The sequence below is a fragment of the Homo sapiens genome, chromosome 7 (assembly GCF_000001405.40).
Source record: "Homo sapiens chromosome 7, GRCh38.p14 Primary Assembly".
NCBI classification, from domain to species: domain Eukaryota; kingdom Metazoa; phylum Chordata; class Mammalia; order Primates; family Hominidae; genus Homo; species Homo sapiens.
Window position 1 is genome coordinate 134,225,538 of NC_000007.14, and position 21,672 is coordinate 134,247,209.

At 38.2% G+C, this 21,672-nt stretch overlaps 1 protein-coding gene across 4 annotated transcripts in view; it reads left to right on the forward strand.

Moving 5' to 3' along the window:
• LRGUK (leucine rich repeats and guanylate kinase domain containing) overlaps positions 1-21,672 on the forward strand; it is a 149,346-nt gene that overhangs the window by 98,198 nt on the left and 29,476 nt on the right. The window lies entirely within an intron of this gene.

The window sequence follows — 21,672 nt, forward strand, 5'->3', positions numbered from 1 at the left end:
GGTGGAAATACAAATGTAACAAGGTAGTTTCATAGAAAAGCAAATCAAACTCCCTCAGAACTAACAGATTCACTCTTAAGAAATTAGGGCAAATATAATACTGAATTGCTCTTGTCATATATGTGGGTGAATTCACCTAAGATTATGTTTGGTGCCTCATTTTTCTTTTAAAGATTATGAATTCAGTGCTCTTGGAATTTGCAAGTATTTATCACATTTTAGGAGATCTCATAGGTTGTTAACCTTTTGCACAGCTGGTATAATGCTGCAAAACAAGCAACATACCTTTCTGAGACCATCACAACAGAAGATTCCGTGAGACATTATGATGTGTGTTAGAGAACACACACTGCCTTTATGCAGCATTTATAATTTAGAAAGAGCTTTTGTGTAGGTTATTTCACATACCCCTCACTGCAACCCTAAGAAGAAGTTGTTGTTTTTTCTCATCTTACCTTCCCAAGGTAAATTTCCATGTCTTTTTGGAACTTTTTAGTGGATGGAAGAAAGTAATTGCAGCTGTCTCTGTCAAAAACATTTATCTTAAATTATCCAAAAGAAAAAAGGCATTTTTGTGCTTTTTGGTGTCTTAAGTGTACATTGAATGTGTTTATATTTTCTTTTGCAAACTATTATGAGGGCTTTGACAGTGATGGACAAGGTAGAAATTCCCATCTCCAATGTGTGTGTGTGTGTGTGTGTGTGTGTGTGTGTGTGTGTGTGTTTCTGGTTCTGTTTCTGTTTCTCTGAAGCACCATTCCCACTTATGTTAAAGATTGCATTCTTTCTCTCCCGCTCAAATCCACCTCAAAACTCACTGTGTACATGAGGCCTTCTCTATACCGCCTCTGTAATCTAATATTCTCTTCCCTTGGCCATCGCATGCAATGACATGTGTGTAAGTTGTGATTACAAAATAACGAGGCTGGTTTTGTGTGTGTCTTAAGGAAACCAGTCTTATTTCTTGGTAGTCACATATGGCACATGTCATAACTAGCTGGGTAAGTACATGTTTATGTGTGTATTTCATCTATGTTCATTTCTATTTCCATTTAACTATTGGCTTCTTGACCCAAGAGAAAAATGCGCTAACTTTTGAATAATGTGACAGCCTTGCCATCTACTGGGTAACCTTACAAAAGCCACTTACCTGCTATGAGATGCCATTTCCTCTTCTGTAAAGTACATACAGAGAAATAATAATACCTATCTTACAATGTCATTGTGTCAGATGCACATGAAACTTCTTTGTAAATGATTGACTACAGAACAAATGTTGTCGCTATGTCAGTGATGGTAGGCAGGGAGTGAGGAAGGACTCAGGCCCTCAGCTGTACTTCTTTATATTCAAGAACAGCAGCTCTCCTTTGGGCGATCATCAGCATCCCTGTATCACCAAGAACCTTCAGATACCTGAAAAGTGGTTAATTGGACTTCTGCTTCCACTAAAGGCAGACCTGGTAATTCAGAGTAACCTTCCTGCTGAGAACAACTAGAAAATCTGGATTAAAAAAATATCTACTTGAAGGGATCAGAGAATAAACAGAAGAGTGAAAGTTTATCTGGCCAGGCATTAGGGGAGGATGATCCTGAGAGGTGAACCTGGTACCAGAGGCCACTTATTCCTATGGACTTTTGCTAATTGAGGTAGACATGGTTGAGGGCTGAATTGACACTTTGAGAGTCTTGTGGAACTAGGACAATAACATCGAAGTATGAGGTCCATCAGGGAAGTAAACTTAGCGAACGATGCTTTCTTTAGGTTGGTAACTGAAAGCCTGCAACCTTGGAGTAAAGGTGAACAAAAAGAAGTCAGGACTTCATAGGAGCCACAGTTAAAGTACTCTTATTTCTGAAATTATATTCAAAAGATCCCAGATGTCCCTAGGTCCATGGCAGAAAAAATATATATAAATAATGTTGTAAATACACTGTCTAATGCATAATGAAAAATAACCAGGCACATAAGGACATGGGAAAACATGAACTAAAAATAACAGAATCCCCAGATGATAGGAAACAGGCCTACAAGAGCCTTCAGATTTTGGCAGCATTAAATACATATTTTGAAGCCTCCAAGCATTGATGTTATCAAAGCAAGACTTTAATGTGACTGCATTTATAATGGCCAAGATATAAGACAAAAATGTAAATTTCAGCAAAAGTGGAGACAATAAAAAATAACTAAATTGAAATTATAAAACCTGGGGGGAAACAGTAACTGAAATTGATACCCAATTAGACACAGCTAAAGAGAGAATTAATAGACTGAAAAGTTGATAAGAAAAATAAATCTTAGAAACATAACAAGATGGGAAATATAGTGGAAGAGTGAATAAGAGACATAAAGCAAACATGAGAAGTTCTAACATATGTTATTGAATCCTAAAAGGAGAGAAGAAGTGGAAGAGAAACAAGATTTGAAGAAATAATGGTTGAAACTTTATGGTCCTGATAAAAGTCATCAAGCCATAGATTAAATAAATCTTGAAAACCCAACTTAGACACATATTTGTTTTGAAATCATATTGTACTAAAATTAAAAACAAAGGAAAATACCTAAAGAGCAGTCATAGGGGATAAAATTACTTTCAAAAAAAGTAATAACAATTAGGTTGACAGCGACTTTCCAAAAGAACTCATGAAAGCCAGAAGACAAAGAATATCTTTAAGGTGATAACTTATTGCCAACCTAGAATTTTGGACCCAGTGAAGATATCATCCAAAAATGAAGGTGAATTAAAGGTATTTCTAGACAAAGAAACAGAATTTGTCACAGGAAGCCTACATGAAAGGGAACAGTAGAGAATTTTCTTTTGGCAGAATGAAAATGATTTCAGATAGAGAGTGTCATAGATAGAGAAAAAAATGAAGAACAAGACAAAGGGTAATACATGAGTAAATCTGAATACATGAGTAAATCTAAAGAGTTGCTGACTATATAAAACAGCAATGGCTTTAACAATACATGGAATTAAAATGTATAAAATTAAAATATGGGGAATGAAGGGAAAAAATATAAATGTATTTAACACCATTAACTGTACATCTATAAATGGTAAAGATGGTAAATTATATGTGTATATTTTACCTCAATAAAAAATGTTTAATTAAAATATAGAAATTAAAAATGAAACTAAATTTATGACAACAATTATAATAAGTCAAGAAGGGTATAAATGGAGATGAAATGTTCTAGAATCCTTGCATTTGAAGTCTAGGAAGAGGGTAAATGTAATAATATCAGATTATCAAATTTTGATGAGTCAAGAAAACATATTTTAATCTCTAGGATGATACTAAAAGAAGATTAGGAAATGTATTACTTTTAATCTAATTGGGGGAAGGAGTAGAATAATAAATAAGTAATTCAACATGGTGTCAGAGGTCATAGCCAGTGCAATAAAGCATAAACAAGAAATAAATAGTGTAAAGCTTGAAAATAGTTAATAAATGCATTTGACAAGATTATTAGAAACATAAAACATATAAAAATAAATTTCTATGTAATAGCAACAATTTTAAATATATTTAGTTTTTTAAAAATATATTTTCAGGCCAAGTGTGGTGGCCTACATCTGTAATCCCAGTACTTTGGGAGGCTGAGATGAGAGGATCACTTGATGTCAGGAGTTTGAAACCAGCCTGGCTAACATATCTACTAAAAATACAAAAATTAGCCAGGCATAGTGGCACACGTCTGCAGTCCCAGCTACATGGGAGGCTGAGGCATGAGAATCGCTTGAACCTGGGAGACTGGAGTTGCAGTGAGCTGAGATCGCGCCACTGCGCTCCAGCCTGGGTGACAGAGGGAGACTCCATCTCAAAAAAAAAAAAAATCTATCTATCTATCTATCTATCTATCTATCTATCTATCTATGTTCAGTAACATCCAAAGTGTCAAATATTTAAAAACAAATTAATAAAAGGTGTATAATGCCTCTATTCAGAAAAATGTAAAACATATTTTCTAGAAAAATTAAAGACCTAAAAAGTGGAGAGATAGACCATGTTTATGGATTGATGGCTCCATATTCCATATTATACAAATGTCTGTTTTCTTCAAATAGGTCTATACGCTCAAAGCAATCCAGTCAAAAACATTCTCACATTTTTGTGGAAATTAATAATCTGATTTTAATATGTATCTGAAAATGCTGGTATCACCACTAAAATAGACAAGTAAAATAAATAACAGCCCAGAAATAGATCCATGCACACATGGAAAGTTGATTTATGAAAAAAGTGACACTGCTGAGCAGCAGGAAAGTGATGCCTTTTGTATAGCATTAATTAGATATAAATAGGAACAAAATTAGATTTAACCCTGATCTCACACCATATATAAAAATTAAGGTAGATTATCTATAAAATGTGAAAAGCAAAATAATAATAGTTCAAAAAATAATGTAAGATAATATTTTTATGATCATGGGGTCAAGATTTCTTAAATGTAACACAAAAAGCATTCATTATGAAGGAAAAATCTGGAATATTACAGTACATTAAAACTAAGATCTCCTGTTAACTGAAAACACAGCATGAGGAAAAAAAAGACAGACTACAGAGAGTGGGGAGATATTTGCCGTAACTATAACCAACAAAGTGTATCCGAAATATATAAAGAACTCCTACAAATTATTAAGAAAAAAATAGGTAACCCATAGGAAAATCCCTTCACAAAATAATATCCAGATAGCCCATATTCTTATGAAGAGATACCCAGCCTTATTATTAATCAGGGAAATGCAAAATATAATCGCAATGAGATACTACTATGCATAAACTAAAAGTACTAAAATTATAAAGACTATCAATATGTGGGGCAATGGAAACTCTTATAAGAGAACTGATGGGAAATGAAATTGGTATACCTTGGAAAATAGTTGAGCATTATTTACTAAAGTTGAACATGCAGATACCCTACACCTCAACCGTGGTATTCTTGTGTATATACCCAATAGAAATGACTGGTTATGTGTACCAAAAGATATGTGCAAAAATGTTTATAGTAGCATTGTTCATAATAGTCCTAAACTAGAAATTCACATGTCCATCAGCAGTAGAACAGCTATGTAAATTTTTGAATAGTCATATAATAAAATACGTACAGTAATGTAAACCAACAAACTTAACTTCTTGGTTGTATTTCACAAACATACAGTTGAACTAAAGAATTCTAACTAAAAAGAATACGCGCTATACATGCAATCTGATTCCATTAATATACAATTTAAAACAGGCAATATTAAACCACAGTATTTAGGGAAGCACATTTAGGTGATAAAACTATAAAGAAGAAGTGGTTACTGTAAAAGTCAGGAGAGTGCTTATCTCCAGAGGGGGAAAATGGTGGTAATAGTTGAAAAGGGTCTTGAGGGACCTGGAGATGCTGGCAATTGTTTGTGAGGTTTACGAGGCCACCTGGTGAACTGGAATGCTATTTGTTCTGTTCATTAGCTGGACAAGCTGCAGTGAGTTAGCAAAACCCACTCTGGGATTGGGTAGGATTTTCTGAGGGCTGTAGTTTGAAAAATTAAGAGCAATCTGTAAGGTGAGGATCCAAGGGTGATGCTGAAGCCCAAATCACCCAGAGTCCAACTTGATGATCCATCTGAAGGATTTGAAGAGAGTGAGGATCATGGCAGTAGCCCACATTAGGGGGAGACCCAGCTTACTACCCCACTGAACATAAATCTGAGAAAAGTGAAATAATGAGTCAAAGGAGGTGTGGCCATGTAAGAAAGTAGTGTCTGTGGTCTGTGATAGTTTATTGGCAGATGAGTTCCTTCTGTCATTGCTATTGATCAAGCTTAGAAAGAGCCTTTGCTCTCATAGCCATCATCTCCATTCCCATATTCAAAAGGACCTTCCTTTTTTTCCTTCCTCCCTTCCTTTCTTCTTTCCTTTCTCCCTTCCTTTCTTCCTTCCTTCTTTGTTTCCTCCCTCCATTCCTTCCTTCCTTCGTTCCTTCCTTCCTCCCTTCCTTCCTTCCTCCCTTCCTCCCTCCGTCCCTCCCTTCCTCCCTTCCTTCCTCCCGTTCTCCCTCCCTTCCTCCCTTCCTTCCTCCCTCCGTCCCTCTCTTCCTCCCTCCGTCCCTCCCTTCCTCCCTTCCTTCCTCCCTCCGTCCCTCTCTTCCTCCCTCCGTCCCTCCCTTCCTCCCTTCCTTCCTCCCGTTCTCCCTCTCTTCCTCCCTTCCTTCCTCCCGTTCTCCCTCTCTTCCTCCCTTCCTTCCTCCGTCCGTCCCTCCCTTCCTCCCTTCTTTACTTCTTATCTTCCTTTTCCCTGCCTTCTTTACTTTCTCTCTCCCTTCCTTCCTTTCTTTCATTTTTCTCTTCCTTCCTTCCTCTCTTCCTCCCTGCTTCCTTCCCTTCCTCCCTTCCCATCCCTTCTTCCCTTCTTTTGCCTTCTTCCCATTTCCTCACTTATTTATTTATCTACCCATCCTATATTTGTTGAATTCTTATCATGTATGTAGGATATTGATTTGATTTTTCAATATCAGCAGACATTTCCTGATCAGACCCTGCTGCAGACACTAGAACAATATGGGCCTGGTCCCTGTCCTTATAGAATTAATATTCTAGTAGTGAGATCTTCTGGTCTACTTGTACTGATGGGATAAGGTCAGTGTATCCCTAGCCCTCTTACTACTACCTTCTTTCTTTGAGTAGAAAATGGGCTAATGGAATGTGGAAATCCCCAGTATTACTGACTTCCAATATACTGACAGTTGTTTTTAATTTATTTTTTTTTTTTGAGACAGGGTCTCACCCTGTCATCCAGGCTGGAGTGCAATGGCACGATCTCGGCTCACTGCAACCTCTGCCTCCTGGGTTCAAGTGATTCTCCGGCCTCAGCCTCCTGAGTAGCTGGGATTACAGGCACGTGCCACCACACTTGGCTAATTTTTTGTATCTTTAGTAAAGATGGGGTTTCACCATGTTGGCCAGGCTGGCCTCGAACTCCTGACCTCGTGATCTGCCCACCTTGGCCTCCCAAAGTGCTGGGATTACAAGCATAAGCCACCGCACCAGGCCCTTTATTTCCTATTCCTAAGGTCACTGGAGGTTTCCTCTAGAACCTAAATAATTTGTCTTTGTTAGGAAGAAATGCCCAAGAATATTATTTTTTACTCTTCAATCTGAACAAAATCTGCTAACATCACATTTCTTGATTGCTACTCCAATCATTTATAAATATACAATTCTTTCTATAAATGTGATCATAATTTAATATGAATTTAGATAATTTAATAAAATATCCAATTTACTCATTTTCTCATTCCTTGCTTATACAATTCTTTGTTGCTTTATTTCTTCTCTCTTCCTATCTTAAATGGTACTTTTCTGAATGACTCCCAAAGCACATTAATTTGAACATCTCTAAGAGAATCTTAGAGAACTGTAAATGTAATTTTAATCAGCCTTACTTCATAAACACTTAAACATTTTTCTTTGCAGGTTTGAGTAAAAAAAAAGTGCACAGCTCTTTTCTTACTGTTGCAAAAAATATATAACCAACCCTATCAGTGAGAGGTTTTTATTTTTGCAACACTCATGTATAGGTTACAGATGTCTAAGTGTCTAAGTTCTTTTGCGTTACTTGCCAGATATTGTTATACTTCAGTCTCCCTCCCTGATAGTAACCCAATGCTCTTTGCATGGTTGGCTCCCTGGAAAGCATACATGAAGGCTATGCTGACTTAGTTAAGGCTTCTTGCTCTGGATTTGCTATTGTGACTAGGTTTTTCCTTCTAGAAGAAGCTTGACTTCCTTTACCTCCATCATATCTGTTTCTGCAACCAGCTCCTCCAACACCTTTACCCCTGAAGCAAGCCAAGTCACTGAGAGCCAATTCTCCAGAAAGAAAAATTGCTGAATGACCAATTCATTGAGAGACAATTTAGCAAATATGTGTGTACAGCAGACAAGGCCAGTACAATCCTGTAAGTACTAACTGTATGAAGGGGAAATGAGAAAGTGGACCTGTGGTGACAAAGTATTAGGCACTTGCATCCACCAAGCACCATTTCCTTTCAATACTCTTAGGACCCAGGTCAGCTCAGGGAAGAGGCTGCTTGTCCAAGTATCACACAGCTTAGGAATGTCTATTTTGATTTCAGAAGAAAAATGCCTTCTTTTACTCAGGTGCATTTTTCAGTATTAACACATCAATGTGAATCTTTTTTATTTTATTTTATTTTGAGCCAGAGTCTTGCTCTGTCACCCAGGGATCAACGTGAATCTCGAGAGAAGACATTTGATTTCCAGTATCTTTGCCCTCTGCTCTTCGTGTCTAATTTGAACTCAGGATCCTCACGGCTCTAAACAAAGCTTGTCCAACCCACAGCCTGCCGGCCACATGTGGTTGAGGACAGCTTTGAATGCAGCACAACACAAATTCATAAACTTTCTTAAAACATGAGATTTTTTTTGCAATGTATTTTTTTAGCTCATCAGCTATTGTTAATGTTCGTGTATTTTATGTGTGGCCCAAGACAATTATTCTTCTTCCAGTGTGGCCCAGGAAAGCCAAAATATTGGACACCCCTGCTCTAAACTGTTTCATTTTCAATATGTCTTTTGTCATAAAAAAGCTTCAGTTAGGTTCATAGGGGCACAGATCAGCATCTCAAAGCTGTTCTTCTGCTCTTCATGAGGCCAATTCCCAATATCCCTTTTTCTAAGCATTATATGACCCTCAGATACCACAGTCTGCTGCAGTTTCCCAGTCTCTTGGTGATGTCACACACTGGTCTTCCTGAGATGAGATACTCCGCTTTGTTCATAGATGGTTTCCCAACATCTAGTGTGGTTGTCTGACCGCCTGCATGGCTTCAATAAATTTTGCTGAACCTACGAATGAGTAAAAGTGAATGGACAAAGGAATGATTTGTGATGTACTAGAACCCTTCCTCCAAAGTCGTCCTTTGATTCCTTTCTTCATTGTTGTTTCCAACTGGTAGGTGGGCAGGGAATAGATTATATAATGACTATCTTACTGTATCTCTAGTCCTCCTAAAATTAGCATCATATTCCTTCTTGTGATAAATTTGTTCTTCTAAGAATAGATTTATTGTCTGAGCCATTTAATTAAATCTTTGTTTTCCCCCTGCTTCTCTTGTTCCTTTTCAGTCTCCTTTCTCTTTTTCTTTCCAATTTCTTGATATTGGAGGATCTGAGGGCTCAGTTCTTTGTCCTTCCCTTTCTTTCTTTTCCCTTCCCTTCTCTCCTTTTTCCTTTTCTTCCTTTCCCTTCCATTATTTCCCTATCTACACTCACTTCTTCCAAAACTGAAATACTGATTGTTGCCCTAAATCTTACTCTTATTTGATGCCAACTCTGTATCTGCAGTTATCAGGCCAAAAACTTTGTACTCTTTTCTCTCCCAACCCAATATCCAATCTGTCAAAAACTTCTACTGGCCCTACCTTCAAATTATTCTGGAATCCAGAATCTGCCCACTATCCTGGTCTACTCTTCCATTATTTGTCACCTAGATCACGGCAGCCACCTCTTAAGTGGTCTCTTTGGTTCTACCCCTGCCCCTATAGGCTATTTGCAAACACAGAAGACAGAATGATCAATTGCAAACCTAGGTCAGATCATGAGCCCCCTCTGCTCAAATACCTGCAATTGCTTCCATGTTGCTCAGTGTCTTTCAGTTTCCTGCAAAGTCCTCCATGATCTTGTTCCTTTGGTGTCTCTGATCTCATTCCTACTACTCCTCTTCCTACCTCAGCTCCACTGACACTGGCAAGTGATTGTACCTCTAACCCACCAGCACTCCTGCCTTAGAGCCATTGCACTAACTGTTTCTTCTTTCTGGAACACTCTTTCCCCAGATAGCCACATGGCTGACTCCCTTTCCTCCTTCAACTATTAACTCACATTTTACCACCTCTATGCTGTCTGCCCTGAAACCCTAATTTATACTGCAACCTGTATCTCCTACTCTGTGTCCTTCCTTGGCCCTCCCTAGCCCCTTTTCCCTGCTCTGCTTTTTCTTTTTTGAAAAATTCGTATCACCCTCTAATGCATTAGGCTATTTGCTTATCTATTATGCTTGTTGTTGGTCTTCCCCTGTTAGACTATAAATCCTCCAAAGGCAGAAATCATTGTTACTCCCTGATGTATTCATTATTTTATACGATGCTAGGCACATAGTAGTGCTCAGTTAATACTTGTTGAATGAATGAAGGAACAGGGGGAAGTATAGTTTAGAGCACTGTCATGTGGGCAAGTCACATGTCTTCTCTGAGTCATTTTCTTATCTGTAGAGATAATAGTAATCAAGTCCTAGGTTATTGAAAAGATTAAAGGGGTTAGTTGACATCAATTTCCTGGAATATATTAAGTGCTCAGTAAGTGTCAATATTATATTTTTATTTGCTAAATCAAGACAATGCTAGAACAAATGTTATCCGCATAAGATATCACATTTTTAGTAAGATATTAATAGGTAAGAAGCACAGTGACATTTTAATTTTTCCTCAAGTCCCAATCTTCTACCTCATATTTAAGTTCTATGTTATCAAAATACAATATATTTTCTTACCCTTTCTTAAATTATTAAATTAAAAAACAAGGAAAATAAATGTATAGATTATTATAAGGCAAACCTCCTTGTCACCACTCCCCAAGTTGGGACATGGAACTTTTCCAGTCACTCCAGAAGCCCTTCCATGAGCCCCATCCTACTCTCCCTCCCTCCAAAGGTAACCATCATTCTGACTCTGTAGTAACCAATTCCTTATATTCCTTTTTGGTTTTATTGCACAAGTGTGCATCCTTAGATTCTAGTTTAGTCTTATCTATTTTAAAATAAATAATATATATTTACAGTATCTTTTAATCTACAGGTTCTCCACCCAGCCTTTTCTTTTCTTTACAAGTTCCTGTTAAAGGACTCTGTTTAGACTGTAGCATCTCCCACAATTTGGGTTTTGCCAGTTGCATGCTTATGGTGCCATTCATCATGTTCTTCTGTCCCTGAATTTCCTGCAATTGGCAGTTGGATCCAGAAGTTTGTTCAGATTCAGGGTCTGTTCCTTTAGCAAGGCAGTAAGTAGTGGTATTTATTTTTCATTAAAAGGTAGATAACATCTGTTTTTCTCTTTTTGTGATGTTCTTCTAGCAGAAGTTTCCTACACCCATAGGCGCCTATAGGGCCATACAGATATCCAGCTCTGAAAAGTAAAAACAAGCTTATTTTCTGAACAGTTTATCAGGTACTGTGTCCTTTCAGTGGCTGGAAGATTTTAACACTAAGAGGATTTGTAGCCAGAAATTTAAAAGAAGCTAGCAGAAGAAATTTCTTACACCTACTGTTATTATATTAGCTGTTGTTCAATACCTAGTTCAATTAATATGCTGGGGATTGAAAACTGATGATTTTGTAATTCTATCATTTCATTTTCTTTTATTAGCTGGAATAATACTATAAAGAGATGCTTCTTTCATCTCTCATCAGTTCTTACAGGATCAGCAGGCTAAATGCTTTTCTCTTTCTTTTTTTTTTTTTTTTTTTTTTGAGACTGTCTCTTACTCTGTCACCCAGGCTGGAGTGCAGTGGCACGATCTTGGCTCACTGCAACCTCCACCTCCCGGGTTCAAGTGATTTTCCTCCCTCAGCTTCCTGAGTAGCTGGGACTACAGGTGCCTGCCACCATGCCCAGCTAATTTTTGTATTTTTAGTAAAGGCAGGGTTTCACCATATTGGCCAAGCTGGTCTCAAACTCTTGACCTTGCGACGCGCCTGCCTGGGCCTCCCAAAGTGCTGGGATTACAGGGGTGAGCCACCACACCCAGCTAATTCTTTTTTCAAGATAATGAATTGGCTCCCTTTTATTCTCTGAAGGTGACCAGTTAATATTAAATTATCATTTATGGTCATTATGATCTTCATTTAAGCATATTTGAAGGATACCACCCACCGCATTTTTTATCCTTATTGAAATTCATATTATCTTACCTTTGGCTAATGGAAGCCTTTTCAAGTTGGCATCTGTGTCCTTTAACATGACCTGTGGAGTCTTTCATAGCTGTCTTTCTGTCTGTTATGACAAGATAATCCATGATTTCTTGTGCTTTCCCTGTCCCAGACCTGGAATCAGTCTTTTCTTCAAGAAATCTGGGTTTCTTTAAGTGAGAAATGGTAGTGCAAGAACACATTGTTGTTACCAGGGATGTTCATTACTATTGGGGTGGTTGTCATTTCTAGGTCTTTTATGTGGATAGATAAAATAGTTCATAAATTCAGTTAGTATTTCCAATTCAAATTCAGGACTTTCAAGATTTTTACTTAAGTTTTTTTCTATTATGTATTTCTCTTTCTTCCACACTGAGAACCCTAATTCTGAAAGACACAGGAGATGATACAATCTCCCATTAAATTACTCCGTTGATTTATCCCATCTTACACACAGAACAGTCTCAGAATAACAGTACTAATACCACCAGCACCCATAATGAAAACCAAAAAATAGTTAAAAACATTTTTTACAAATGTTCTCCCCCCCATTATTTATGGATTCATAGCTACACTATCAAAGCATAGTCATTGAATACTCTCCTTTTGTCTTAGTTCTCAAGTATGTACATACTTAATACTCATCATTAGACCATAGGTCAACACTGCTCTAGTTTTTTGTTGTCTAAGCTTATTCTTTACTAGATACAAGAGGGATTATGGGAACAATATTTCCTGAGTTCTTGTATGTGGATAACAGTGTGTGATACACTTGTACTTTATACTGGAATTGTAGTTTTTATCATTACCCTGTTTCCTTGTTTTGTTTATTTTGTCAAGGATGCCTGTTGTCTGTATGTTGAGTCTTCTTTATCTTAAATATTCATCATTTTCTCTTGAGTCCTTTTTTACCTGTATTCATTTCTTTTTTATTTAAAATTTTTTAGCCTGCTCACATTCTATTTTTCTTAAACCATTGTTTGTTATGTTTATTCACTCTTGTATTTCTTCTAGTTTAGTTTTCGTTTCTGAGGTGGGTTTTTTTGTTTATTTCTAATTCTTTCCTGAGTTCTGCCACCTAGTTCATGAGTTTTTAAAATTGTAATTTATCTGTTCCTTGATGTTTTGTGTCATTTTCTTAATGTCTTTCGTTTATTCTGAATTAGTAGATTGCAGATTTTTTTTCTGGTTTTATATGAAAGCTTTCATTGTCTGTTAGAATGTTACTCTCCTCCTTTTTCTCTCACAATAACTTTGGGATTCCACTAGATACTTTCTGTTGCTCATTTTTATGTGAAATTAGTTTTCTCAGACTTTTAGAAGGGAGCACAATCCCTTCAAATAGTATCAAAATACATGACAGCTTTCTTCCTGGGATTTCCTGGCTCTGTTCTTCTCTGACCCCACCCCTTTGGTCTAGGCCTTCTCTTTCTTTTGTTTCTGTTTGATCCATTCTAATACATTTTTATTCCACTCCCATCACCTTCTCTGAGTGCGGAGCCTGTCTTAGCAAGGGGCCCCAGGGGGTCAGTTTCAAGAATTCACGGTTGACCCAGCTCCTTTAGAAGTTCCTATGACTTCTGGAGGTTCCAAGATGGCTGAATAGGAACAGCTCCAGTCTGCAGCTCCCAGCATGAGCGACACAGAAGATGGGTGATTTCTGCATTTCCAACTGAGGTACCAGGTTCATCTTGCTGGGGCTTGTCAGACAGTGGGTGCAGCCCACAGAGCAGAGTGGGGCATCGCCTCACCCGGGAAGCGCAAGGAGTCGGGGAATTCCCTTTCCTAGCAAAGGGAAGCCATGACAGATGGTACCTGGAAAATTGGGACACTCCCACACTAATACTGCACTTTTCCAACGGCCTTAGCAAATGGCACACCAGGAGATTATATCCTGTGCCTGGCTCGGAGGGTCCCACACCCATGCAGCCTCGCTGACTGCTAGCACAGCAGTCTGAGATCGACCTGCAAGGTGGCAGCGAGGCTGGGGGAGGGGCATCCGCCATTGCTGAGGCTTGAGTAGGTAAACAAAGAGGCTGGGAAGCTCGAACTGGGTGGAGCCCACCACAGCTCAAGGAGGCCTGCCTGCCTCTGTAGACTCCACCTCTGGGAGCAGGACATAGCTGAATAAAAGGCAGAAGAAACTTCTGCAGACTTAAACGTCCCTGTCTGACAGCTTTGAAGAGAGTAGTGGTTTTCCCAGCACAGAGTTTGAGATCTGAGAACAGACAGACTGCCTCCTCAAGTGGGTCCCTGACCCCCGAGTAGCCTAACTGGGAGGCACCTCCCAGTAGGGGCCAACTGACACCTCATACAGCCGGATGCCCCTCTGAGACGAAGCTTCCAGAGGAAGGATTAGGCAGCAACATCTGCTGTTCTGCAATAGTTGCTGTTCTGCAGCCTCCACTGGTGATACCCAGGCAAACACGGTCTGGAGTGGACCTCCAGCAAACTCTGACAGACCTGCAGCTGAGGGTTCTGACTGTTAGAAGGAAAACTAACAAACAGAAAGGACATCCACACCAAAACCCCATCTGTATGTCACCATCATCAAAGACCAAAGGTCGATAAAACCACAAAGATGGGGAGAAACCAGAGCAGAAAAGCTGAAAATTCTAAAAATCAGAGCACCTTTTCTCCTCCAAAGGAACGCAGCTCCTTGCCAGCAATGGAACAAAGCTGGACGGAGAATGACTTTGACGAGAGAAGAAGGCTTCAGATGATCGGTAATAACAAACTTCTCCAAGCTAAAGGAGGATGCTGGAACCCATTGCAAAGAAGCTAAAAACCTTGATGAAAGATTAGACGAATGGCTAACTAGAATAAACAGTGTAGAGAAGTTCTTAAATGACCTGATGGAGCTGAAAACCATGGCACAAGAACTACATTATGCATGCACAAGCTTCAGTAGCCAATTTGATCAACTGGAAGAAAGGGTATCAGTGATTGAAAATCAAATGAGTGAAATGAAGCGAGAAGAGAAGTTTAGAGAAAAAAGAGTAAAAAGAAATGAACAAAGCCTCCAAAAAATATGGGACTATGTGAAAAGACCAAATCTACGTCTGACTGGTGTACCTGAAAGTGACTGGGAGAATGGAACCAAGTTGGAAAACAGTCTGCAGGATATTATCCAGGAGAACTTCCCCAACCTAGCGAGGCAGGCCAACATTCATATTCAGGAAATACAGAGAATGCCACAAAGATACTCCTCTAGAAGAGCAACTCCAAGACACTTAATTGTCAGATTCACCAAATTTGAAATGACGGAAAAAATGGTAAGGGCAGCCAGAGAGAAAGGTCAGGTTACCCACAAAGGGAAGCCCATCAGAATAACAGCGGATATCTCAGCAGAAACTCTACAAGCCAGAAGAGAGTGGGGGCCAATATTCAACATTCTTAAAGAAAAGAATTTTCAACCCAGAATTTCATATCCAGCCAAACTAAGCTTCATAAGTGAAGGAGAAATAAAATCCTTTACAGACAAACAAATGCTAAGAGATTTTGTCACCACCAGGCCTACCTTACAAGAGCTCCTGAAGGAAGCACTAAAATGGAAAGGAACAACCAGTACCAGCCACTGCAAAAACATGCCAAATTGTAAAGACCATCGATGCTAGGAAGAAACTGCATCAACTAATGAGCAAAATAACCAGTTAACATCATAATTACAGGATCAAATTCACACGTAACAATATTAACCTTAAATGTAAATGGGCTAAATGCTCCAATTAAAAGACACAGACTGGCAAATTGGATAAAGAGTCAAGACCCATCCGTGTGCTGTATTCAGGAGACCCATCTCACGTGCAGAGACACACATAGGCTCAAAATAAAGGGATGGAGGAAGATCTACCAAGCAAATGGAAAACAGAAAAAAAAGCAGGGGTTGCAATCCTAGTCTCTGATAAAACAGACTTTAAACCAACAAAGATCAAAAGAGACAAAGAAAGCCATTACATAATGGTAAAAGGATCAATTCAACAAGAAGAGCTAACTGTCCTAAATATATATGCAGCCAATACAGGAGCACCCAGATTCATAAAGCAAGTCCTTAGAGACCTATATAGAGACTTAGACTCCCACAAAATAATAATGGGAGACTTTAACACCCTACTGTCAACATTAGACAGATCAATGAGACAGAAAGTTAACAGGGATATCCAGGAATTGAACTCAGCTCTGCACCAAGCAGACCTAAGAGACATCTACAGAACTCTCCACCCCAAATCAACAGAATATACATTCTTCTCAGCACCACATCACACTTATTCCAAAATTGAACACATAGTTGGAAGTAAAGCACTCCTCAGAAAATGTAAAAGAACAGAAATTATAACAAACTGTCTCTCAGACAACAGTGCAATCAAACTAGAGCTCAGGATTAAGAAACTCACTCAAAACTGCTCAACTACATGGAAACTGAACAACCTGCTCCTGAATGACTACTGGGTACATAATAAAATGAAGGCAGAAATAAAGATGTTCTTTGAAACCAATGAGAACAAAGACACAACATACCAGAATCTGGGACACATTCAAAGCAGTGTGTAGAGGGAAATTTATAGCACTAAATGCCCACAAGAGAAAGCAGGAAAGATCTAAAATTGACACCCTAACATCACAATTAAAAGAACTAGAGAAGCAAGAGCAAACACATTCAAAAGCTAGCAGAAGGCAAGAAGTAACTAAGATCAGAGCAGAACTGAAGGAGATAGAGACACAAAAAACCCTTCAAAAATCAATGAATCCAGGAGCTGGTTTTTTGAAAGGATCAACAAAATTGATAGACCGCTAGCAAGACTAATAAAGAAGAAAAGAGAGAAGAATCAAATAGATGCAATAAAAAATGATAAAGGGGATATCACCATGGATCCCACAGAAATACAAACTACCATCAGAGAATACTATAAACACTTCTATGCAAATAAACTAGAAAATCTAGAAGAAATGGATAAATTCCTGGACACATACACCCTCCCAAGACTAAACCAGGAAGAAGCTGAATCCCTGAATAGACCAATAACAGATTCTGAAATTGCGGCAATAATTAATAGCCTACCAACCAAAAAAAGTCCAGGACCAGATGGATTCACACCTAAATTCTACCAGAGGTATAAAGAGGAGCTGGTACCATTCCTTCTGAAATTATTCCAATCAATAACAAAAGAGGGAATCCTCCCTAATTCATTTTATGAAGCCAACATCATCCTGATACTAAAGCCTGGCAGAGACACAACAAAAAAAAGAGAATTTAGACCAATATCCATGATGATCATCGATGCAAAAATCCTCAGTAAAATACTGGCAAACCAAATTCAGCAGCACCTCATAAAGCTTATCCACCACGATCAAGTTGGCTTCATCCCTGGGATGAAAGGCTGGTTCAACATACGCAAATCAATAAAGGTAATCCATCATATAAACAGAACCAAAGACAAAAACCACATGATTATCTCAATACATGCAGAAAAGGCCTTTGACAAAATTCAACAGCCCTTCATGCTAAAAACTGTCAATAAACTAGTTATTGATGGGACATATCTCAAAATAATAAGAGCTATTTATGACAAACCCACAGCCAATATCATACTGAATGGGCAAAAACTGGAAGCATTCCCTTTGAGAACTGGAATAAGACAGGGATGCCCTCTCTCACCACTCCTATTCAACATAGTGTTGGAAGTTCTGGCCAGGGCAATCAGGCAGGAGAAAGAAATAAAAGGTATTCAATTAGGAAAAGAGAAAGTCAAACTGTCCCTGTTTGCAGATGACATGATTTTATATTTAGAAAACCCCATCGTCTCAGCCCAAAATCTCCTTAAGCTGATGAGCAGCTTCAGCAAGGTCTCAGGATACAAAATCAATGTGCAAAAATCACAAGCATTCCTATACACCAATAACAGACAAACAGAGAGTCAAATGAGTGAACTCCCATTCGCAATTGCTTCAAAGAGAATAAAATACCTAGGAATCCAACTTACAAGGGATGTGAAGGACCTCTTCAAGGAGAACTACAAACCACTGCTCAACAAAATAAAAGAGGACACAAACAAATGGAAGAACATTCCATGCTCATGGATAGGAAGAATCAATATTGTGAAAATGGCCATAATGCCCAAGGTAATTTATAGATTCAATGCCATCCCCATCAAGCTACCAATGACTTTCTTCACAGAATTGGAAAAAACTACTTTAAAGTTCATATGGAACCAAAAAAGAGCCCGCATTGCCAAGACAATCCTAAGCCAAAAGAACAAAGCTGGAGGCATCACACTACCTGACTTCAAACTATACTACAAGGCTACAGTAACCAAAACAGCATGGTACTGGTACCAAAACAGAGATATAGACCAATGGAACAGGATAGAGCCCTTGGAATTAATACCACACATCTACAACCATCTGATCTTTGACAAACCTGACAAAAACAAGCTATGGGGAAAGGATTCCCTATTTAATAAATGGTGCTGGGAAAACTGGCTAGCCATATGTAGAAAGCTGAAACTGAATCTCTTCCTTACACCTTATACAAAAATTAATTCAAGATGGATTAAAGACTTAAATGTTAGACCGAAAACCATAAAAATCCTAGAAAAAAACCTAGGCAATACCATTCAAGACATAGGCGTGGGCAAGGACTTCATGACTAAAACACCAAAAGCAATGGCAACAAAAGCCAAAATTGACAAATGGGATATAATTAAACTAAAGAGCTTCTGCACAGCAAAAGAAACTACCATCATAGTGAACAGGCAACCTACAGAATGGGAGAAAATTTTTAAAATCTACCCATCTGACAAAGGACTAATATCCAGAATCTACAAAGAACTTAAACAAATTTACAAGAAAAAAATCAAACAACCCCATCAAAAATTGGGCAAAGGATATGAACAGACACTTCTCAAAAGAAGACATTTATGCAGTCAACAGACACATGAAAACATGCTCATCATTACTGGCCATCAGAGAAATGCAAATCAAAACCACAATGAGATACCATCTCACACCAGTTAGAATGGTGATCATTAAAAAGTCAGGAAACAACAGGTGCTGGAGAGGATGTGGAGAAATAGGAATGCTTTTACACTGTTGGTGGGACTGTAAACTAGTTCAACCATTGTGGAAGACAGTGTGGTGATTCCTCAAGCATCTAGAACTAGAAATACCATTTGACCCAGCCATCCCATTACTGGGCATATACCCAAAAGATTTAAATGATGCTGCTATAAAGACACATGCACACATATGTTTATTGCGGCACTATTCACAATAGCAAAGACTTGGAACCAACCCAAATGTCCATCAGTGATAGACTGGATTAAGAAAATGTGGCACACATACACCACGAATACTACGCAGCCATAAAAAATGATGAGTTCATGTCCTTTGTAGGGACATGGATGAAGCTAGAAACCATCATTCTGAGCAAACTATCGCAAGGACAGGAAATCAAACACCACATGTTCTCACTCATAGGTGGGAATTGAACAATGAGAACACTTGGACACAGGGTGGGGAACATCACAGGGGTGGGGGGCAGGGGGAGGGATAGCATTAGGAGATATACCTAATGTAAATGACGAGTTAATGGGTGCAGCACACCAACATGGCACATGTATACATATGTAACAAACCTGCACGTTGTGCACATGTACCCTAGAACTTAAAGTATAATAATAAAAACAAACAAAAAACAAAACAAAAATAAATAAATAAAAAGTTCCTATGACTTCTTATACTCAAACACTACTGGAATGGGAACAACCCCTCTTCTATTTCAGCTGTGGTTCCCAGATTGCCCTGCTTTGCTTTTCAGTGAATATTTTTCAGCTGTCTTGGCATTCCCCTGTTTCCAGGTCTTTCAGTCACCATGCTGCTTCCTTCAGCTTCCTTCTGCATAAACACTCACATCATGCAGGTGTTGTGGCTATCATCTGACTTCCTCCTGCATAGATACTGATACCATGCAGGTGTTGTGGTTATGAAAGCCCCACCTGTATTTTGGGGTTTGAGGAGATACCCTGTCACCTGGTTTCGTTGTAAGTTTTTTGACATGTTTTTGATTTCGCTATTTAGTTGCTATGTTTATTTTTATGTGGAATTCTAGAAGATCCAAAAAGTATGCTGCCACTACCACTGTCATCTTCTCAGTTATAATAAAATATAAATTAAGCATAAATAAGGGAAAAAGTAAGGGCGGTATACAATGAAATCACAGTAGTAAATGGTGTACTACTATAAAGTGATTCCCAGCAAATAATAAATTCACGGGAGAGTGAATAACAACAAACACAAAAAATAAAGTAAATTCACAGCAGACTTGGTTAATATATAGTTATTTTATAGTAAAGTCAAGCTATTTAGATATATTCATGGAATTATTTAAACCTGTAGTTTTTAAATGGTGAAATGTAAATAGGGCTTGTTCCTTTCTTCTCTCATTACATCCTCCCCTGACTTTCCCAATACAATTTTCTCCTCATCTTGTTTACATAGAAACACAGAGCTCAGGGAAAAAGTAAAATGATTTTGGTAATCAAGTATCCACCAGAGAGTGTGTTCAGTGAGCCCACGTTAGCGCTCATGTGTCATGGTCTCTAAGGAACAATTTCAAAAGCTTGACCTAGACTTTTTCAAGCTAGGAACAGTTGACAGCAAATTCTAATCCAGGTTATAAAAAATGGTAAACATTATTCACTCTTTATATTATCCCCCCCAAATTTATACTGTTGTACATTAAAGTGGTTTGTTGAGGTCCTGCTTTGTGCTAAAGTCTGTGTGCTGTGTGCAGGGGATACAGCAGTGACAAAAGGGATTCTGATCTCTCTGGGATATGACTTATTTCCAGAGATGTTAGGTGTGTCAGTCTTGGCATCGCTACAGATCAGTTATTGTGATGCAAAAATGTTTTTACAATCACATCAACTTAATTCTTAAAACTTGATTTTTAAAAACTTCCCCTAAAGACACGCAAGCAAACACTTGAAACTATGCTAGCCCCCAAGGCTAAGACAGGTGATTAATCTGGAGTTGTGGTTTCACCACCTTTCACTATCGTCTGTCCTTTCCCTTGCATGCTTGTTTGTTATTTCTTGTGAAATTTTAAGTGAATGCCAATTTATAGTGGAGCCTGGTAATGACATAAAAATCAAAACAGCAAGGCTTATTTCAGATTAAGTTACTGGAAGCAAAATACATACAATGCAAAGATTAATGTATTTTAAGTGTACTTGCTGTTTAAATAAATACCATTATAAATCCTCTTGTCAGTAAGTCTTTTATGTAAAACAAAGAATCACTTGTTAATTTATCTTTTCTGTAAATTAAGAACTTTATGTATTAGGTTTGCTTTAAGGGAGGAAATCCAGTACCTGGACAGTTGCTAAATAGGTCATACTCCATCAGGTGATCTGTGTATCAATGCATCCTCTGTTATTTATAAAACAACATGTGCCATCTGGGTTTTATTTCCTCCTTGTTTGTTGCCTTTTGCCACCAGACCATAAACCTTTTGAATGCAGAGACTATCTTGTATGTATCTGTATCCCCATTAAATGCTTACTAAAGAATGATAGTGATATTTGTGAAATAATGAGAGAAAGACCGCCCCCATAAATTTTTCCTATTTCCGGATCATAATTAAATTTTGGTGGCTGTGTTAATTCAATCAGTTAGCTACTATATGTGCTGAGATCTGGG